A 17896-nucleotide genomic window follows, 5' to 3' on the forward strand; every position below is an offset into this window, starting at 1 on the left:
GAAATCAAACAGACAGTTGAATACCAATATTCATAGACAAATTATTAGCCAAAGCTAAAAGGTAGAAGCAACCCAGATGTCCATCAATGGATGACTAAACAAAATGTGCTATATCCATACAATAGAATATTTTTCAGCCTCAAAAAGGAATGAAGTTCTGATACATGCTGCAACATGGATGGACCCTGAAAACACTATGCTAAGTGACATAAGCCAGACACAAACACATACAAAAACAAATATTCTATGACTTCACTTACATGAGCTACCTAGAATAGGTAAATTCATAAAGACCAGAAAGTAGAATAGAGGGCTGCCAGGGGCTGCTGGGAGGGGAAAATGGAGAGTTATTTTGTTATGCTATGGAGTTTCTGTTTGGGATGATGAAAGAGTTCTGGAAATGGATAATGATGGTAGATGCACAACTTCTGATTGCTGATTACACTGTACACTTAAAATGGTTAAAATGGTAAATTTTATGTTATGTATATTTTACAAAAACCAAAACAAGCAAAAAATACCATGGGGCCAGAGGACGGACTGTTATATAAATGAACCACAGATAGCCTCTGTATATGGACCCTATGCTGGTTTTTTTTTTTTTTTTTTAATTATACTTTAAGTTTTAGGGTACATGTGCACATTGTGCAGGTTAGTTACATATGTATACATGTGCCATGCTGGTGCGCTACACCCACTAACTCGTCATCTAGCATTAGGTATATCTTCCAATGCTATCCCTTCCCCCTCCCCCGCCCCCAACACAGTCCCCAGAGTGTGATATTCCCCTTCCTGTGTCCACGTGATCTCATTGTTCAATTCCCACCTATGAGTGAGAATATGCGGTGTTTGGTTTTTTGTTCTTGCGATAGTTTACTGAGAATGATGATTTCCAATTTCATCCATGTCCCTACAAAGGACATGAACTCATCATTTTTTATGGCTGCATAATATTCCATGGTGTATATGTGCCACATTTTCTTAATCCAGTCTATCATTGTTGGACATTTGGCTTGGTTCCAAGTCTTTGCTATTGTGAATAATGCCGCAATAAACATACGTGTGCATGTGTCTTTATAGCAGCATGATTTATAGTCCTTTGGGTATATACCCAGTAATGGGATGGCTGGGTCAAATGGTATTTCTAGTTCTAGATCCCTGAGGAATCGCCACACTGACTTCCACAATGGTTGAACTAGTTTACAGTCCCACCAACAGTGTAAAAGTGTTCCTATTTCTCCACATCCTCTCCAGCACCTGTTGTTTCCTGACTTTTTAATGATTGCCATTCTAACTGGTGTGAGATAGTATCTCATAGTGGTTTTGATTTGCATTTCTCTGATGGCTAGTGATGATGAGCATTTTTTCATGTGTTTTTTGGCGGCATAAATGTCTTCTTTTGAGAAGTGTCTGTTCATGTCCTTCACCCACTTTTTGATGGGGTTGTTTGTTTTTTTCTTGTAAATTTGTTTGAGTTCATTGTAGATTCTGGATATTAGCCCTTTGTCAGATGAGTAGGTTGCGAAAATTTTCTCCCATTTTGTAGGTTGCCTGTTCACTCTGATGGTAGTTTCTTTTGCTGTGCAGAAGCTCTTTAGTTTAATTAGATCCCATTTGTCAATTTTGGCTTTTGTTGCCATTGCTTTTGGTGTTTTGGACATGAAGTCCTTGCCCATGCCTATGTCCTGAATGGTAATGCCTAGGTTTTCTTCTAGGGTTTTTATGGTTTTAGGTCTAACGTTTAAATCTTTACTCCATCTTGAATTGATTTTTGTATAAGGTGTAAGGAAAGGATCCAGTTTCAGCTTTCTACATATGACTAGACAGTTTCCCCAGCACCATTTATTAAATAGGGAATCCTTTCCCCATTGCTTGTTTTTCTCAGGTTTGTCAAAGATCAGATAGTTGTAGGTAGGCGGCGTTATTTCTGAGGGCTCTGTTCTGTTCCATTGATCTATATCTCTGTTTTGGTACCAGTACCATGCTGTTTTGGTTACTGTAGCCTTGTAGTATAGTTTGAAGTCAGGTAGTGTGATGCCTCCAGCTTTGTTCTTTTGGCTTAGGATTGACTTGGCGATGCGGGCTCTTTTTTGGTTCCATATGAACTTTAAAGTAGTTTTTTCCAATTCTGTGAAGAAAGTCATTGGTAGCTTGATGGGGATGGCATTGAATCTGTAAATTACCTTGGGCAGTATGGCCATTTTCACGATATTGATTCTTCCTACCCATGAGCGTGGAATGTTCTTCCATTTGTTTGTATCCTCTTTTATTTCCTTGAGCAGTGGTTTCTAGTTCTCCTTGAAGAGGTCCTTCACATCCCTTGTAAGTTGGATTCCTAGGTATTTTATTCTCTTTGAAGCAATTGTGAATGGGAGTTCACTCATGATTTGGCTCTCTGTCTGTTGTTGGTGTATAAGAATGCTTGTGATTTTTGTACATTGATTTTGTATCCTGAGACTTTGCTGAAGTTGCTTATCAGCTTAAGGAGATTTTGGGCTGAGACAATGGGGTTTTCTAGATATACAATCATGTCATCTGCAAACAGGGACAATTTGACTTCCTCTTTTCCTAATTGAATACCCTTTATTTCCTTCTCCTGTCTAATTGCCCTGGCCAGAACTTCCAACACTATGTTGAATAGGAGTGGTGAGAGAGGGCATCCCTGTCTGTTGCCAGTTTTCAAAGGGAATGCTTCCAGTTTTTGCCCATTCAGTATGATATTGGCTGTGGGTTTGTCATAGATAGCTCTTATTATTTTGAAATATGTCCCATCAATACCTAATTTATTGAGAGTTTTTAGCATGAAGGGTTGTTGAATTTTGTCAAAGGCTTTTTCTGCATCTATTGAGATAATCATGTGGTTTTTGTCTTTGGCTCTGTTTATATGCTGGATTACATTTATTGATTTGCGTATATTGAACCAGCCTTGCATCCCAGGGATGAAGCCCACTTGATCATGGTGGATAAGCTTTTTGATGTGCTGCTGGATTCGGTTTGCCAGTATTTTATCGAGGATTTTTGCATCAATGTTCATCAAGGATATTGGTCTAAAATTCTCTTTTTTGGTTGTGTCTCTGCCCGGCTTTGGTATCAGAATGATGCTGGCCTCATAAAATGAGTTAGGGAGGATTCCCTCTTTTTCTATTGATTGGAATAGTTTCAGAAGGAATGGTACCAGTTCCCCCTTGTACCTCTGGTAGAATTCGGCTGTGAATCCATCTGGTCCTGGACTCTTTTTGGTTGGTAAACTATTGATTATTGCCACAATTTCAGCTCCTGTTATTGGTCTATTCAGAGATTCAACTTCTTCCTGGTTTAGTCTTGGGAGAGTGTATGTGTCGAGGAATGTATCCATTTCTTCTAGATTTTCTAGTTTATTTGCGTAGAGGTGTTTGTAGTATTCTCTGATGGTAGTTTTTATTTCTGTGGGATTGGTGGTGATATCCCCTTTATCATTTTTTATTGTGTCTATTTGAGTCTTCTCTCTTTTTTTCTTTATTAGTCTTGCTAGCAGTCTATCAATTTTGTTGATCCTTTCAAAAAACCAGCTCCTGGATTCATTGATTTTTTGAAGGGTTTTTTGTGTCTCTATTTCCTTCAGTTCTGCTCTGATTTTAGTTATTTCTTGCCTTCTGCTAGCTTTTGAATGTGTTTGCTCTTGCTTTTCTAGTTCTTTTAATTGTGATGTTAGGGTGTCAATTTTGGATCTTTCCTGCTTTCTCTTGTGGGCATTTCGTGCTATAAATTTCCCTCTACACACTGCTTTGAATGCGTCCCAGAGATTCTGGTATGTTGTGTCTTTGTTCTCGTTGGTTTCAAAGAACATCTTTACTTCTGCCTTCATTTCGTTATGTACCCAGTAGTCATTCAGGAGCAGGTTGTTCAGTTTCCATGTAGTTGAGCGGCTTTGAGTGAGATTCTTAATCCTGAGTTCTAGTTTGATTGCACTGTGGTCTGAGAGATAGTTTGTTATAATTTCTGTTCTTTTACATTTGCTGAGGAGAGCTTTACTTCCAACTATGTGGTCAATTTTGGAATAGGTGTGGTGTGGTGCTGAAAAAAATGTATATTCTGTTGATTTGGGGTGGAGAGTTCTGTAGATGTCTATTAGGTCTGCTTGGTGCAGAGCTGAGTTCAATTCCTGGGTATCCTTGTGGACTTTCTGTCTCATTGATCTGTCTAATGTTGACAGTGGGGTGTTAAAGTCTCCCATTATTAATGTGTGGGAGTCTAAGTCTCTTTGTAGGTCACTCAGGACTTGCTTCATGAATCTTGGTGCTCCTGTATTGGGTGCACATATATTTAGGATAGTTAGCTCTTCTTGTTGAATTGATCCCTTTACCATTATGTAATGGCCTTGTCTCTTTTGATCTTTGTTGGTTTAAAGTCTGTTTTATCAGACACTAGCATTGCAAACCCTGCCTTTTTTTGTTTTCCATTTGCTTGGTAGAGCTTCCTCCATCCTTTTATTTTGAGCCTATGTGTGTCTCTGCACATGAGATGGGTTTCCTGAATACAGCACACTGATGGGTCTTGACTCTTTATCCAATTTGCCAGTCTGTGTCTTTTAATTGGAGAATTTAGTCCATTTACATTTAAAGTTAATATTGTTATGTGTGAATTTGATCCTGTCATTATGATGTTAGCTGGTGATTTTGCTCGTTAGTTGATGCAGTTTCTTCCTAGTCTCGATGGTCTTTACATTTTGGCATGATTTTGCAGCAGCTGGTACCGGTTGTTCCTTTCCATGTTTAGCGCTTCCTTCAGGAGCTCTTGTAGGGCAGGCCTGGTGGTGACAAAATCTCTCAGCATTTGCTTGTCTGTAAAGTATTTTATTTCTCCTTCACTTATGAAGCTTAGTTTGGCTGGATATGAAATTCTGGGTTGAAAATTCTTTCCTTTAAGAATGTTGAATATTGGCCTCCACTCTCTTGTGGCTTGTAGGGTTTCTGCCGAGAGATCCGCTGTTAGTCTGATGGGCTTCCCTTTGAGGGTAACCCGACCTTTCTCTCTGGCTGCCCTTAACATTTTTTCCTTCATTTCAACTTTGGTGAATCTGACAATTATGTGTCTTGGAGTTGCTCTTCTTGAGGAGTATCTTTGTGGCGTTCTCTGTATTTCCTGAATCTGAACGTTGGCCTGCCTTGCTAGATTGGGGAAGTTCTCCTGGATAATATCCTGCAGAGTGTTTGCCAACTTGGTTCCATTCTCCTCATCACTTTCAGGTACACCAATCAGACGTAGATTTGGTCTTTTCACATAGTCCCATATTTCTTGGAGGCTTTGCTCATTTCTTTTTATTCTTTTTTCTCTAAACTTCCCTTCTCACTTCATTTCATTCATTTCGTCTTCCATTGCTGATACCCTTTCTTCCAGTTGATCGCATCGGCTCCTGAGGCTTCTGCATTCTTCACGTAGTTCTCGAGCCTTGGTTTTCAGCTCCATCAGCTCCTTTAAGCACTTCTCTGTATTGGTTATTCTAGTTATACATTCTTCTAAATTTTTTTCAAAGTTTTTAACTTCTTTGCCTTTGGTTTGAATGTCCTCCCGTAGCTCAGAGTAATTTGATCATCTGAAGCCTTCTTCTCTCAGCTCGTCAAAGTCATTCTCCATCCAGCTTTGTTCCATTGCTGGTGAGGAACTGCGTTCCTTTGGAGGAGGAGAGGTGCTCTGCGTTTTAGAGTTTCCAGTTTTTCTGTTCTGTTTTTTCCCCATCTTTGCGGTTTTATCTACTTTTGGTCTTTGATGATGGTGATGTACAGATGGGTTTTCGGTGTGGATGTCCTTTCTGTTTGTTAGTTTTCCTTCTAACAGACAGGACCCTCTGTTGGAATACCCTGCCGTGTGAGGTGTCAGTGTGCCCCTGCTGGGTGGTGCCTCCCAGTTAGGCTGCTTGGGGGTCAGGGGTCAGGGACCCACTTGAGGAGGTAGTCTGCCGGTTCTCAGATCTCCAGCTGCGTGCTGGGAGACCCACTGCTCTCTTCAAAGCTGTCAGACAGGGACATTTAAGTCTGCAGAGGTTACTGCTGTCTTTTTGTTTGTCTGTGCCCTGCCCCCAGAGGTGGAGCCTACAGAGGCAGGCAGGCCTCCTTGAGCTGTGGTTGGCTCCACCCAGTTCGAGCTTTCTGGCTGCTTTGTTTACCTGAGCAAGCCTGGGCAATGGCGGGCGCCCCTCCCCCAGCCTCGCTGCTGCCTTGCAGTTTGATCTCAGACTGCTGTGCTAGCAATCAGCGAGATTCCGCGGGCGTAGGACCCTCCGAGCCAGGTGTGGGATATAGTCTCATGGTGCGCCGTTTTTTAAGCCGGTCTGAAAAGCGCAATATTCGGGTTGGAGTGACCCAATTTTCCAGGTGCGTCTGTCACCCCTTTCTTTGATTCGGAAAGGGAACTCCCCGACCCCTTGCGCTTCCCAGGTGAGGCAATGCCTCGCCCTGCTTCGGCTCGCGGACGGTGCGCACACCCACTGGCCTGCGCCCACTGTCTGGCACTCCCTAGTGAGATGAACCCGGTACCTCAGATGGAAATGCAGAAATCACCCGTCTTATGCGTCGCTCACGCTGGGAGCTGTAGACCGGAGCTGTTCCTATTCGGCCATCTTGGCTCCTCCCCTCGGACCCTATGCTGTTTACTTCTTCATTACAGGTTAGGAACCCATTAGCTGAAAAGCTTGATAGTACCAATCTGAAAATGTTACACAGCCAATTGTTTTAAATATAGCCCACATGAGTATATTTTTAGGCATTAGAGCCTGCCTGCTTTACATACACTGCAAAACTTCACAAAATATCTACTACCCATAGACAAGAAAAACTGTAGGGCAATAAAGACCCCAAGCTGCTGCTGGTCTTCAGAGTTCCCTGACCCACAGACTCCCTGCTGTGCTGCCTAGCAACATCATATATTAATAGACATGTCAGCTCCGTCTCCTTCATGAGTTCCTTAGCCCTCCTCCCCTTATGGGTTGTGCCCTCAGGCCTATACCAGAGAGTCTGGATGGCCTCGTGCTGTGAAGGATTTTCCCAGGTGCAAATCTGTCAAAGGATCACTTAAAGTTTGCTGTGCGTTAATGCCATCTCGTGATTCTTATCAGATGTAAAATCCTTCAAAGTCACTATAATCCCCACCAGGAAGGCAGGAAAAATTCAGCTTTTCAGTATCTTTGACAGCACTTTGTATTGTAACCATTTTTTTTTATTTTAGCCATTCTGATAAATGTGTAGTAGTATCTGATTGAGCATTTGCATTTACCAAATTGGCTAATGATGTTGAACATTTATCTTTTTTTTCTTTTAAGTTTTAATGTTTATTTCTCCAAGACAGCCTAGCTTGTACTCTATTTGGATAAATTTCATAAGCTAGTTTTCTGCTGTTACTAGTTTTAAACTTTATATTTCTGATGACAAGACACACTGCAAAAATACTCTAGTTCAACAGAGTTATGTTCACAAAACAATTTTTATCCATTCTACAGTGTTTCAGAATTACTAGTTGATTTTTAAACACAAAGTAGATATAGAGGCTATTGGTGGTTAACGTGATATATTTCTTATAGCAAACTGTGGTTCACACAATACTTGTGCTCAAAGGGGAAGGCACATGATTTCCTAAAATGAGCCACCTTATAAAGAGTTCTTACTGTATAAATTACATCACATTTACTGTACATAACCTCAAAACTGAGGTATTATTCAATTTACAAAAACTACTTTATCAGTCTTTATGAAGCAGTACATATGTGCCAAATTCCATTTTAGAAGTTTCCACATCATTTTCATATAAAACAAAGTTTGAAAACAAGTAACATTTAAATACAGCATGGTATTCTAACACAACTGAAACTTTTTTCTTCTTCTTCTCTACAGGACCCAACAAAATCTGAAAATGAACTATGCTGTAAATTTACCTCATGCAAAGATCTTTATGTTCTCTCTGAAAGTGAAAAGCATGGCCTTTTAAGCACATTTTACTGTTTTATACTATTATGGCAACTTGTGTACTGCAGCACAGTCTGTTTTGAGAAAAAGTTATGATTTTTTTCATGCAAAAATCTACACAAATTAGCTTTGATAAGGAAAGACATTCATAGCATCAAACATTCATTCAGTGCAAATGCACAGGGAAACCTTCCTGAAATGTTTTCTGACTTGAGAGTCAACTAAAAAGAAAGCCATACTAGGTAAATAAAAACTTACAGGGGCGGGGAGGAAAAGGGGTAAGGGGAAATAGAAAACATAAGTTGCAGAGTAAACAAATGTCTGCTGCTGATCCAGTATTTGTTTTTATGTCCAGTGTACATTAACACTCAGGATCTCATTTTGATGATTTACTAGGCTATCAGCCACCTGAAGGCAAATCAAGCTTGCATGTGTTCACATACAGCACCACTACCACACTCCTGTACATAGTCACTCCAGGACTAGGAGTCTAATTCATGAATGAGAGCCCTAGATTTTAAAGATGATACTGACTGTCCATCACTGAGCCAGACATTCATTCAACATTTTCCATTTGGACACTGCTTCATAGCAAGGCCTAGGCTCATTTTCCTTTTACTTATGTGGGCATCCAATTCTCTTTTACGGTTACAAGCCTTGAAGATAATAGTACTACACTTTCCCCTCAGTTTATATAGAGTAAGTCAATGTTCTTTCTCAGGCACTGAAGATCTGTGACCTGTAGCCCTTTTTACTATGAACAGCCTAAATAAGCATTCATGTAAAGTTTTCATTACATTTTGCCACTCATTCTCACTCATACCCATTCACCATCTTGACCACATTTGGGCATTTTCTGTGATTCCAAATGAAATCTTCACATTTTCTTTCCCAATTTAATGCAGAAGCAGATCCCATGAGCTAAGCTTGATGGATCAAACATTTATATATATATATATATATATATATATATATATATATATATATATATACACATACATATATATATACACATATACACACATATATGTATAAACATATATATATGTATATACATATATATGTATATACATATATACGTATGTATGTATGTATATAAATTGTACCTAACTTCCACAATACTGTTCTAAAACTGGAACTGTTCTATTGGTATACTGGCAGATAAATTGAAACCAAATGTTCCACCTTGAATTGCCTCTGGATCAAGGCTAAGATCTTCATCAATATCATTTGAAGAGAACTGAGCAATCATCTCATAGGCTAATTTGTAGATGTCTCCATTTTTATGATTTTGAAGTTGTTCAATTTTCTCCAGTCCTCCACATTTTTCTATAAGATTGGCTATGGATTCTGCCTCATTTTTAGCCATTTTTAATATATTAATTCATCCAGTACTACTTGTACAACTTGTGCATCTTTTACAGTCAGCTTCTGAGTGCCAATATCCCCCTTATCCAAAAGGTTTATTATTCTTGGTACAATATTGGCATCTATTACTGCCTGTATCTGCAGCTGATTACCTGCAGTGATGTTACAGAGAAACCATACTGCCTCTTTATTAATTTTCTCTTTGGGATGTGTCAGGATTGCCCACAAGTATGAAAGAGCATCATAATTCACAACTACTTCTGTTTGCTCTTCAATTCCAGTAGCCATGTTGCTCACAGCTTGAGGTGCAGCAGTCTGAACCACCCGGCGGCTGAGAAGAGGAACCAAATGAGGAACTATTCCAGAGTCTACTACCATCTGTATTTGTTCATTGCCAGCACCAGTAAGGTAAGAGAGGGCCCAGTCTGTATCTACTAATATATTTACAAATGTATGATGAATTAGAACACAAAGAGCTGAAAGCATTTCCTGTATGGTTTCCATTGGTGGTGGTGGCTCTTTGTGGTGACATAAATTGGCCATAACCCAGGCTGGGCATGGTGGCTCACACTTGGAATGCTAGCACTTTGGGAGGCTGAGGCAGGAGGATTCTTGAGTCCAGGAGTTAGAGACCAGCCTAGGCAACATGGTGAGACCCTGTCTCTACAAACAATTTAAACATTTAGCTGGGTGTGGTGGCACGCACTTGTGGTTCCAGCTACTCGGGAGGCTAAGGCAGGATGATTTCTTGAGCTCCAGAGGTTGAGGGTGCAGTTAGCTGTGTTTGCGCCACTGCATTCCAGCCTGGGTGAGCCCCTATCACAGAAAAAAAAAATGTTTTGAAGTAAAATAAAGGTTTCACAACTCCAAGACTTATGACATAATCTCTACATCGGGAGGACCATCACTTATGATAGTTCTCAATGCCCACACTGCTTGCTCACAAACATTCTGATGAAGTGAATGGAGGAGCCTCAGGAAATGTGGCACAGCATTGGACTGAACTACTGTTTGAGCTTGTTCAGAGGTTCTAGATGCAGTGTTTGTCAAAGCCCATGCAGCTTCTAACTGTAAAGCATTGTCATCTCTTTCAAGACAATAGACTAGAACAGGTAGTATTCCAGATTTTATTTTTATAAATTGGTAGACTTCGATCACTGGACAAAGCTTCCTAGCAGCCCGAACTGCATTTAATTGAATTTCTTAGTTATCACTTGAAGCATTTTGAATAATAGCTACTAGAGAGGTATTTTACACTCCATAATCATCATTTGTATCAGTCTTCACAGGTATCTTCATTCAGTACGTTCCTTCTCTTTAAGAGATGTTCATCTCTTTTATTCTTCCTTAATTCAACTACAACTTCATTTTGCTGTCTTCTCATAATCCCCAAGTTGTGGACTTTGTTCTCAAAATTCTTGAGCCATTGGCTGTCTAGTTTTTCATTGTCCACTATGAACGAGCTGATGACTCCTTCCCCTACCCAGGCCCCACAGGATCTGCCCCAACCACCATGCCACACCGACACTCCCAGGAACCAGGCTGCCTGTGCTGCTATGCCGGCTGTGCCACTGCTTCCTTCCTCCTCCTCAACTGCCTCAGCTGAGGCCTTCTCCTCTCCCTGTACAACTCCCTTCCTCAACCCCAGCATGAGAGCAGATCAGGTGGAGACAACTACGGGAGCGGAATGGCAGCAACGGTGGCGGAATGTAATGCATGCTGAGAGTGAGATGGCCTCAATCTCTGCACACCTTTTCATGTGCTTATTTTCCATCTGTTATATTTTCTTCAGTGAAATGTTTATGTCTTTTGCCTATTTTTAACTAGGCTTGCTTTTACTATTACGTGTTAAGAGTTCTTGATATATTCTAGATACTAGTTTGTTACTGGATACGTTATTTGTAGTATTTTCTCCCAGTCTGTAGCTCTGTAGCTTCTGTAGAGGAAAAGTTTTTAATTTTATTGAGGTCTAATATATCAACTTTTCCTGTTATGAATCATACTTTTAGTATCAAGTGACTTACCTGAAATTTTTCTAAGTTTTCTTCTAAAAGATTTATAGTTTGAGCATTTTACATTTAAATTTATGATCCATTTTGTATAAAGTATGAGGTGTAGGTGAAGGTTAATTTTGAGCGGAGAGGGCAATGGATTGTTCAGCATCATTTGTTGAAAAGACTATCCTTCCCCCATTTAATTACTTCTGTAATAATTTAGGCGTATCTGTGCAGGTCGGCTTTTGGGTTCTCTATTCTCTTCTATTGAGTTTCGTATCTATCCCTCTACCACTGCCGCACAGACTTGATTACCATAGCCATATAAATGTCTTGAAATTGAGTATAATGGTTCCTCCCACCTTATACTTCTTTGTCAAATTGTCTTAGCTATTCTACCTCCGCTGACTTTACATACACATTTTAGAATAATGTTGACTACATCTCCAAAAAAAATCTGCCTGCGATTTTCATAGGAAATGTATTGTAATTGCATACCAATTTGGGAAGGGCTGACATTTTTACTGTGTTGATTTTGACAATCCACGAACATGCAATGTGCCTCTCCATTCATTTAGATCTTTAATTTCTTTATCAGCATTTTCTAATTGTCAGCAGATCTTATACATGTTTTGCTACATTTGCATTTACGTATTTATTTGAATGATTATGAATGATATATTTTTTATTTCAATGTCTGTATGTTCATTGCTAGTATATGAAGCACAAGTGATTTATGTATGTTGATATTGTGTCCTATGATTGCGTTGAAGTCACCTATGTTGATGGGTGCAGCACACCAACATGGCACATGTATACATATGTAACAAACCTGCACATTGTGCACATGTGCCCTAAAACTTAAAGTATAATAATAATAATAAAAATAAAAAGAGAATTAGCTAAGAATTCAAAAAAACTTTTGACGAAGCATAATACTTTTTTTTTTATTATTATTTTTTGAGACAGAGTCTCACGCCATTCTCCTGTCTCAGCCTCCAGAGCAGCTGGGACTACAGGTGCCTGCCATCACGGCTGGCTATTTTTTTTTTTTTTTTTTTTTTGTATTTTTAGTAGAGACGGGGTTTCACTGTGTTAGCCAGGAGGGTCTCGATCTCCTGACCTCGTGATCCACTGGACTCGGCCTCCCAAAGTGCTGGGATTACAGGCATGAGCCACTGTGCCCAGCTGACAGGGCATAATACTTTTTATGATTTATTTTTTAGTTTTTTGGCTTTCCTATTTATAATTCAGAATATAGTATCATCTATTATAGTTATACCTATATTTTTCTGACAATATTTCCTAATTTTTTATTTTCCAATTTTATAAACAATATTTTCATTTGATTCCAGTCTATAAACTATTTCTACATAACGATTAATAATACCATTTCTATAAATGTCATGTGCTGTATACGTGGCATGGCGTATACAGATAGTTTTGTGTTTTATGTTTTGTTATATAACCTATATTGAGTTAAATTTTGTGGAGTGTGTAAGCTCTGTGTCTAGATTCAATTTTTTTCTTTTTTAATATGTGGATGTTGAGTTGTTCTGGCACCATTGGTTAAAAAGACTTTCCTTTCTCTGTTGAATTGTCTTTGTTCCTTTGTCAAAGCTGAGTTGATTATATTTCTGTGGGTCAATTTCTGGGCTCTCCATTCTGTTCCATTGATCTATTTGTACTTGTTGTTTGTTTGTTTCCAATAACACCCTGTCTTAATTATTGTAGCTTTGCAGTAAGTGTTAAAGTCAGGTAGTTTCAGTTCTCCAACTTTGTTATTCTGATTCAATATTGTGTTGGCTATTCTGAGTCTTTGGTGTCTCTATATAAACTTTACAATCAGCCTGTCAGTATTCACAAAGTAACTTACTAAGATTTTGATTGAGATTTTATTGGATCTATAAAGTTGGGAAGAACTGACAGATTGGCAATATTGAATCTTTCTATCCATGAGCATAGAATATCTCTTCATTTATTTAGTTCTTTGATTTCATCAGATTTTTATAGTTTTCCTTGTGTTGATCTTGCATATATTTCGTTAGATTTATAGCTAAGTATGCCATTTTTTGTGTGCTAATGTAAATGGTATTGTGTTTTTAATCTGAAATTCCACTTGTTCATTGCTAGTATGTTGGAAAGCAATTGATTTGTGTATATTATATTAAACTTGTAAATGCAAAAAAAAACAGTTGTTCTCTGGTTTTCTAGATTCGTTGGGATTTTTTCTACATAAACAATCATGTCATCTGCAAATAGAGACAGTTTTATTTCTCCCTTTCCAATCTGTAGGTCTTTCATTTATTTTTCTTGCCTTAATTCTATGGCTAGGACTTCCAATACTAGTTAAGATTTTGAAGTCACAAATTATGAATTAAATTACTGTCAAACCTTGGAGATAATGTAGGTTCAGTTCCAGGCCACTGCAATAAAGCAATTGTCACAGTAAAGTGAGTATCACAATAAAGCCAGTCACACAATTTTTTGGCATGTAATTATGTTTACAATATACTGTAGTCTATTAAGTATGCAACAACATTATATCTAAAAACTGTATATATCTTAATTAAAAATACTTTATTACTAAAAAATGCCAGCAATCGTTTGAGCTTTCAGCAGGTAGTAATCTTTTTGCTGGTGGGAAGTCTTGCCTCGACGTTGATGGCTGCTGACTGCTCAGGGTACTGGTGGTTGAAGGTTGGAGTGGCTGTGGTAATGTCTTAAAATATGACAACAATGAAGTGTGCCACATCGATGTACTCATCCTTTCATGAAAGATTCCTCTGTAGCATGTGATGCTATTTCAGGCATTTTACCCACAGCAGAACTTCCTTCAAAACTGGAGACGATCCTCTGAAACCGTGACACTGCTTTTTCAACTAAGTTTATATAATATTATAAATCCTTTGCTATCATTTCGACAATGTTCACAGCATCTTTACTAGGAGTAAATTCCATCAAATAAATCACTTTCTTTGCTCATCCATAAGAAGCAACTCCTCATCCATTCAAGTTTTATCATGAGATTGCAGCAATTCAGTCACATCTTCAGGAACCACTTCTATTTATATTTCTCTTGGTATTTCACCATATCTGCCGTTATATCCTCCACTGAAGTCTTGAACTCATCAAAATCATCCATGAGAGTTGGCATCAACTCTTTCCAAACTTCTGTTAATGTTGATATTCTGACCTCCTCCCATAAATCATGAATATTCTTTTTTTTAGAAAAATTATACTTTAAGTTTTAGGGTACAAGTGCACAATGTGCAGGTTTGACACATAGGTATACATGTGTCATGTTGGTTTGCTGCACCCATCAACTCGTCATTTACATAAGGTATTTCTCCTAATGCTATCCGTCCCCTAGCCCCTCACCCCCCAACAGGCCCCAGTGTGTGATGTTCCTTACCCTGTGTCCAAGTGTTCTCATTGTTCAATTCCCACCTATGAGTGACAACATGCGGTATTTGGTTTTCTGTTTTTGTGATAGTTTGCTGAGAACGACGGTTTCCAGCTTCATCCATGTCCCTGCAAAGGACATAAACTCATCCTTTATTATGGCTGCATAGTATTCCATGGTGTATATGTGCCACATTTCCTTAATCCAGTCTATCATTGATAAACATTTGGGCTGGTTCCAAGTCTTTGCTATTGTGAATAGTGCCACAATATACATACGTGTGCATGTGTCTTTATAGTAGCATGATTTATAATCCTTTCGGTATATACCCAGTAATGGGATTGCTGGGTCAAATGGTATTTCTAGTTCTAGATCCTTGAGGAATCACCACACTGTCTTCCACAATGGTTGAACTAATTTACACTCCCACCAACAGTGTAAAAGCATTCCTATTTCTCCACATCCTCCCCAGCATCTGTTGTATCCTGACTTTTTAATGTTCGCCATTCTAATTGGTGTGAGATGGTATCTCACTGTGGTTTTGATTTGCATTTCTCTGATGACCAGTGATGACGAGCATTTTTTCATGTCTGTTGGCTGCATAAATGTCTTCTTTTGAGACGTGTCTGTTCACATGCTTTGCCCACTTTTTGATGGGGTTTTTTTTTCTTGTAAATTTGTTTAAATTATTTGTAGATTCTGGATATTAGCCCTTTGTCAGATGGGTAGATTGCAAAAATTTTCTCCCATTCTGTAGGTTGCCTGTTCACTCTGATGATAGTTTCTTTTGCCATGCAGAAGCCCTTTAGTTTAATTAGATCCCATTTGTCTATTTTGGCTTTTGTTGCCATTGCTTTTGGTGTTTTAGTCATGAAGTCCTTGCCTATGCCTATGTCCTGAATAGTACTGCCTAGGTTTTCTTCTAGGGTTTTTATGGTTTTAGTTCTAACATTTAAGTCTTTAATCCATCTGGAATTAATTTTTGTATAAGGTGTAAGGAAGGGATCCAGTTTCAGCTTTCTACATATGGCTAGCCAGTTTTCCCAGCACCATTTATTAAATAGGGAATCCTTTCCCCATTGCTTTTTTTTTTTTTTTTTGGCAGGTTTGTCAAAGATCAGATGGTTCTAGATGTGTGGTGTTATTTCTGAGGGCTCAGTTCGGTTCCATTGGTTTATATATCTGCTTTGGTACCAGCACGATGCTGTTTTGGTTACTGTAGCCTTGTAGAATAGTTTGAAGTCAGGTAGCGTGATGCCTCCAGCTTTGTTCTTTTTGCTTAGGATTGTCTTGGCAATGCAGGCTCTTTTTTGGTTCCATATGAACTTTAAAGCAGTTTTTTCCAATTCTGTGAAGGAAGTCATTGGTAGTCTGATGGGGATGGCATTGAATCTATAAATTACCTTGGGCAGTATGGCCATTTTCACTATATTGATTCTTCCTACCCATGAGCATGGAATGTTATTCCATTTGTTTGTTCCTCTTTTATTTCGTTGAGCAGTGGTTTTTAGTTGTTCTTGAAGAGGTCCTTCACATCCCTTGTAAGCTGGATTCCTAGGTATTTTATTCTCTTTGTAGCAATTTTGAATGGGAATTCACTCATGATTTGGCTCTCTGTTTGTTTGTTATTGGTGTATAGGAATCCGTGTGATTTCTGCACATTGATTTTGCATCCTGAGACTTTGCTGAAGTTGCTTATCAGCTTAAGGAGCATTCCCTTTGAAAACCAGCACAAGACACGGATGCCCTCTCTCACCACTCCCATTCAACATAGTGTTGGAAGTTCTGGCCAGGGCAATCAGGCAAGAGAAAGAAATAAAGGATATTCAATTAGGAAAAGAGGAAGTCAAATTGTCCCTGTTTGCACATGACATGATTGTATATTTAGAAAACCCCATTGTCTCCGCCCAAAATCATGAATATTCTTAATGGCATCTAGAATAGTGAATTGTTCCCAGAAATTTATTTACTTGGCCCATGTACATTGGAGCAATTACAATCTATGGCAGCTATGGCCATACAAAGTGTATTTCCTAAATAATAAGACCTGAAAGTCAAAGTTACTACTTGATCCATGGGCTGCAGAATGGATATTATGTTAGCGGCCATGAAAACATTCATCTGCATGCAGATCTCCATAAGAGCTCCTAGATTACTTGGTGTACTGTTATTGAGCAGTAATACTCTGAAAGAAACCTTTTCTTCTGCACAGTGCACCTCAACAGTGACCTTAAAATATTTAGTAAACCATGCTGTGAGCAGACATGCTATCATCTAGGCTTTTTTGTTCTATTTATAGAGCACAGGCAGAATAGATTTATTATAATTGTTAAGGGCCCTAGGATTTTTGGAATGATAAATGAGCACTGGCTTCATCTGAATGTCACCAGCTGCATTAAACCCTAACAAAAGTTAGGCTGTCCTTTGGAAATTTGAAGCCAGACACTGACTTCTTCTTTCTAATTATGAAAGTACTAGGTAGCAGCTTCTTCCAATAGAAAGCTGCTTCATCTATATTGAAAAATCTGTCCTTCAGTGTGGCCATCTTCACCAATTATCTTAGCTAGATCTTCTAGATAACTTGTGCAGCTTCTACATCAGTACTTGTTGCTTCACCTTGCACTTTTGTGTTATGGAGATGACTCCTTTCCATAAAACTCATGAACCAAGCTCAGGTAGCTTCCAACTTTTCTCCTGCAGCTTCCTCACTTTTCTCAGCCTTCAAAGAATTGAAGACAGTTAGGAACTTTTATCAACAATAGGACTGTTTTGCTTTCTTATCGTTTGTGTTTTCACTAGAGTAGCACTTTTAATTTCCTTCAAGAACTTTTCCTTCACATTCACAACTTGGGCTGTTTGGTGCAAGAGCCCTAGCTTTTGTCCTTTCTCAGCTTTTGACGTGTCTTCCTTGCTAAGCTTAATGATTTCAAGCTTTTGATTTAAAGTGAGAAACATGTGACTCTTCGTTTCACTTGAACACTTAAAGGCCATTGCATGGTTATTAGTTGGCCTAATTTCAATATTGTTGTGTCTTGAATCCAGAAGACTGAAAAGATGGAGCAATTATCTTCATTTCTTTCCATATTCTGCATTCTAGTTCTGTGATTTCAGCCATCTTAGCCTGGTTAAGAACCCTTGTTGAAGAACTAGTACTGTCATTTGGAGGAAAGAAGACACTCTGGCTTTTCAAGCTG

The 17896-nt window shown here is 38.8% G+C and overlaps 2 protein-coding genes and 1 pseudogene across 3 annotated transcripts in view, besides 1 other annotated feature; 1 reads left to right on the forward strand and 2 right to left on the reverse strand.

Moving 5' to 3' along the window:
• The window catches only part of LOC112268307 (uncharacterized), a 106617-nt gene extending 90037 nt beyond the window's left edge, over nt 1-16580 (forward strand). For both annotated transcript variants that reach the window (XM_047442705.1, XM_047442706.1), the window contains 2 exons: nt 9584-9710; nt 10790-16580. In XM_047442705.1, the coding sequence (XP_047298661.1) occupies nt 9584-9710; nt 10790-11125 (463 nt within the window). In that variant the 3' untranslated portion in view covers nt 11126-16580. The remainder of the gene's footprint in view (nt 1-9583; nt 9711-10789) is intronic.
• MTMR8 (myotubularin related protein 8) overlaps nt 1-17896 on the reverse strand; it is a 127372-nt gene that overhangs the window by 27902 nt on the left and 81574 nt on the right. The gene's annotated exons all lie outside the window — the stretch shown is intronic.
• Nucleotides 5821-6322: an enhancer, noted in NCBI's record as "H3K4me1 hESC enhancer chrX:63521683-63522184 (GRCh37/hg19 assembly coordinates)". NCBI's record gives its function as "activates a minimal SCP1, AML or CMV promoter by ChIP-STARR-seq in naive H9 embryonic stem cells {active_cell/tissue: H9 hESC(naive)}" and the evidence as "EXISTENCE:reporter gene assay evidence [ECO:0000049][PMID:30033119]".
• KPNA4P1 (KPNA4 pseudogene 1) lies at nt 8895-10951 on the reverse strand (annotated as a pseudogene).

This window comes from Homo sapiens, chromosome X (genome assembly GCF_000001405.40).
Source record: "Homo sapiens chromosome X, GRCh38.p14 Primary Assembly".
Lineage (NCBI taxonomy): Eukaryota > Metazoa > Chordata > Mammalia > Primates > Hominidae > Homo > Homo sapiens.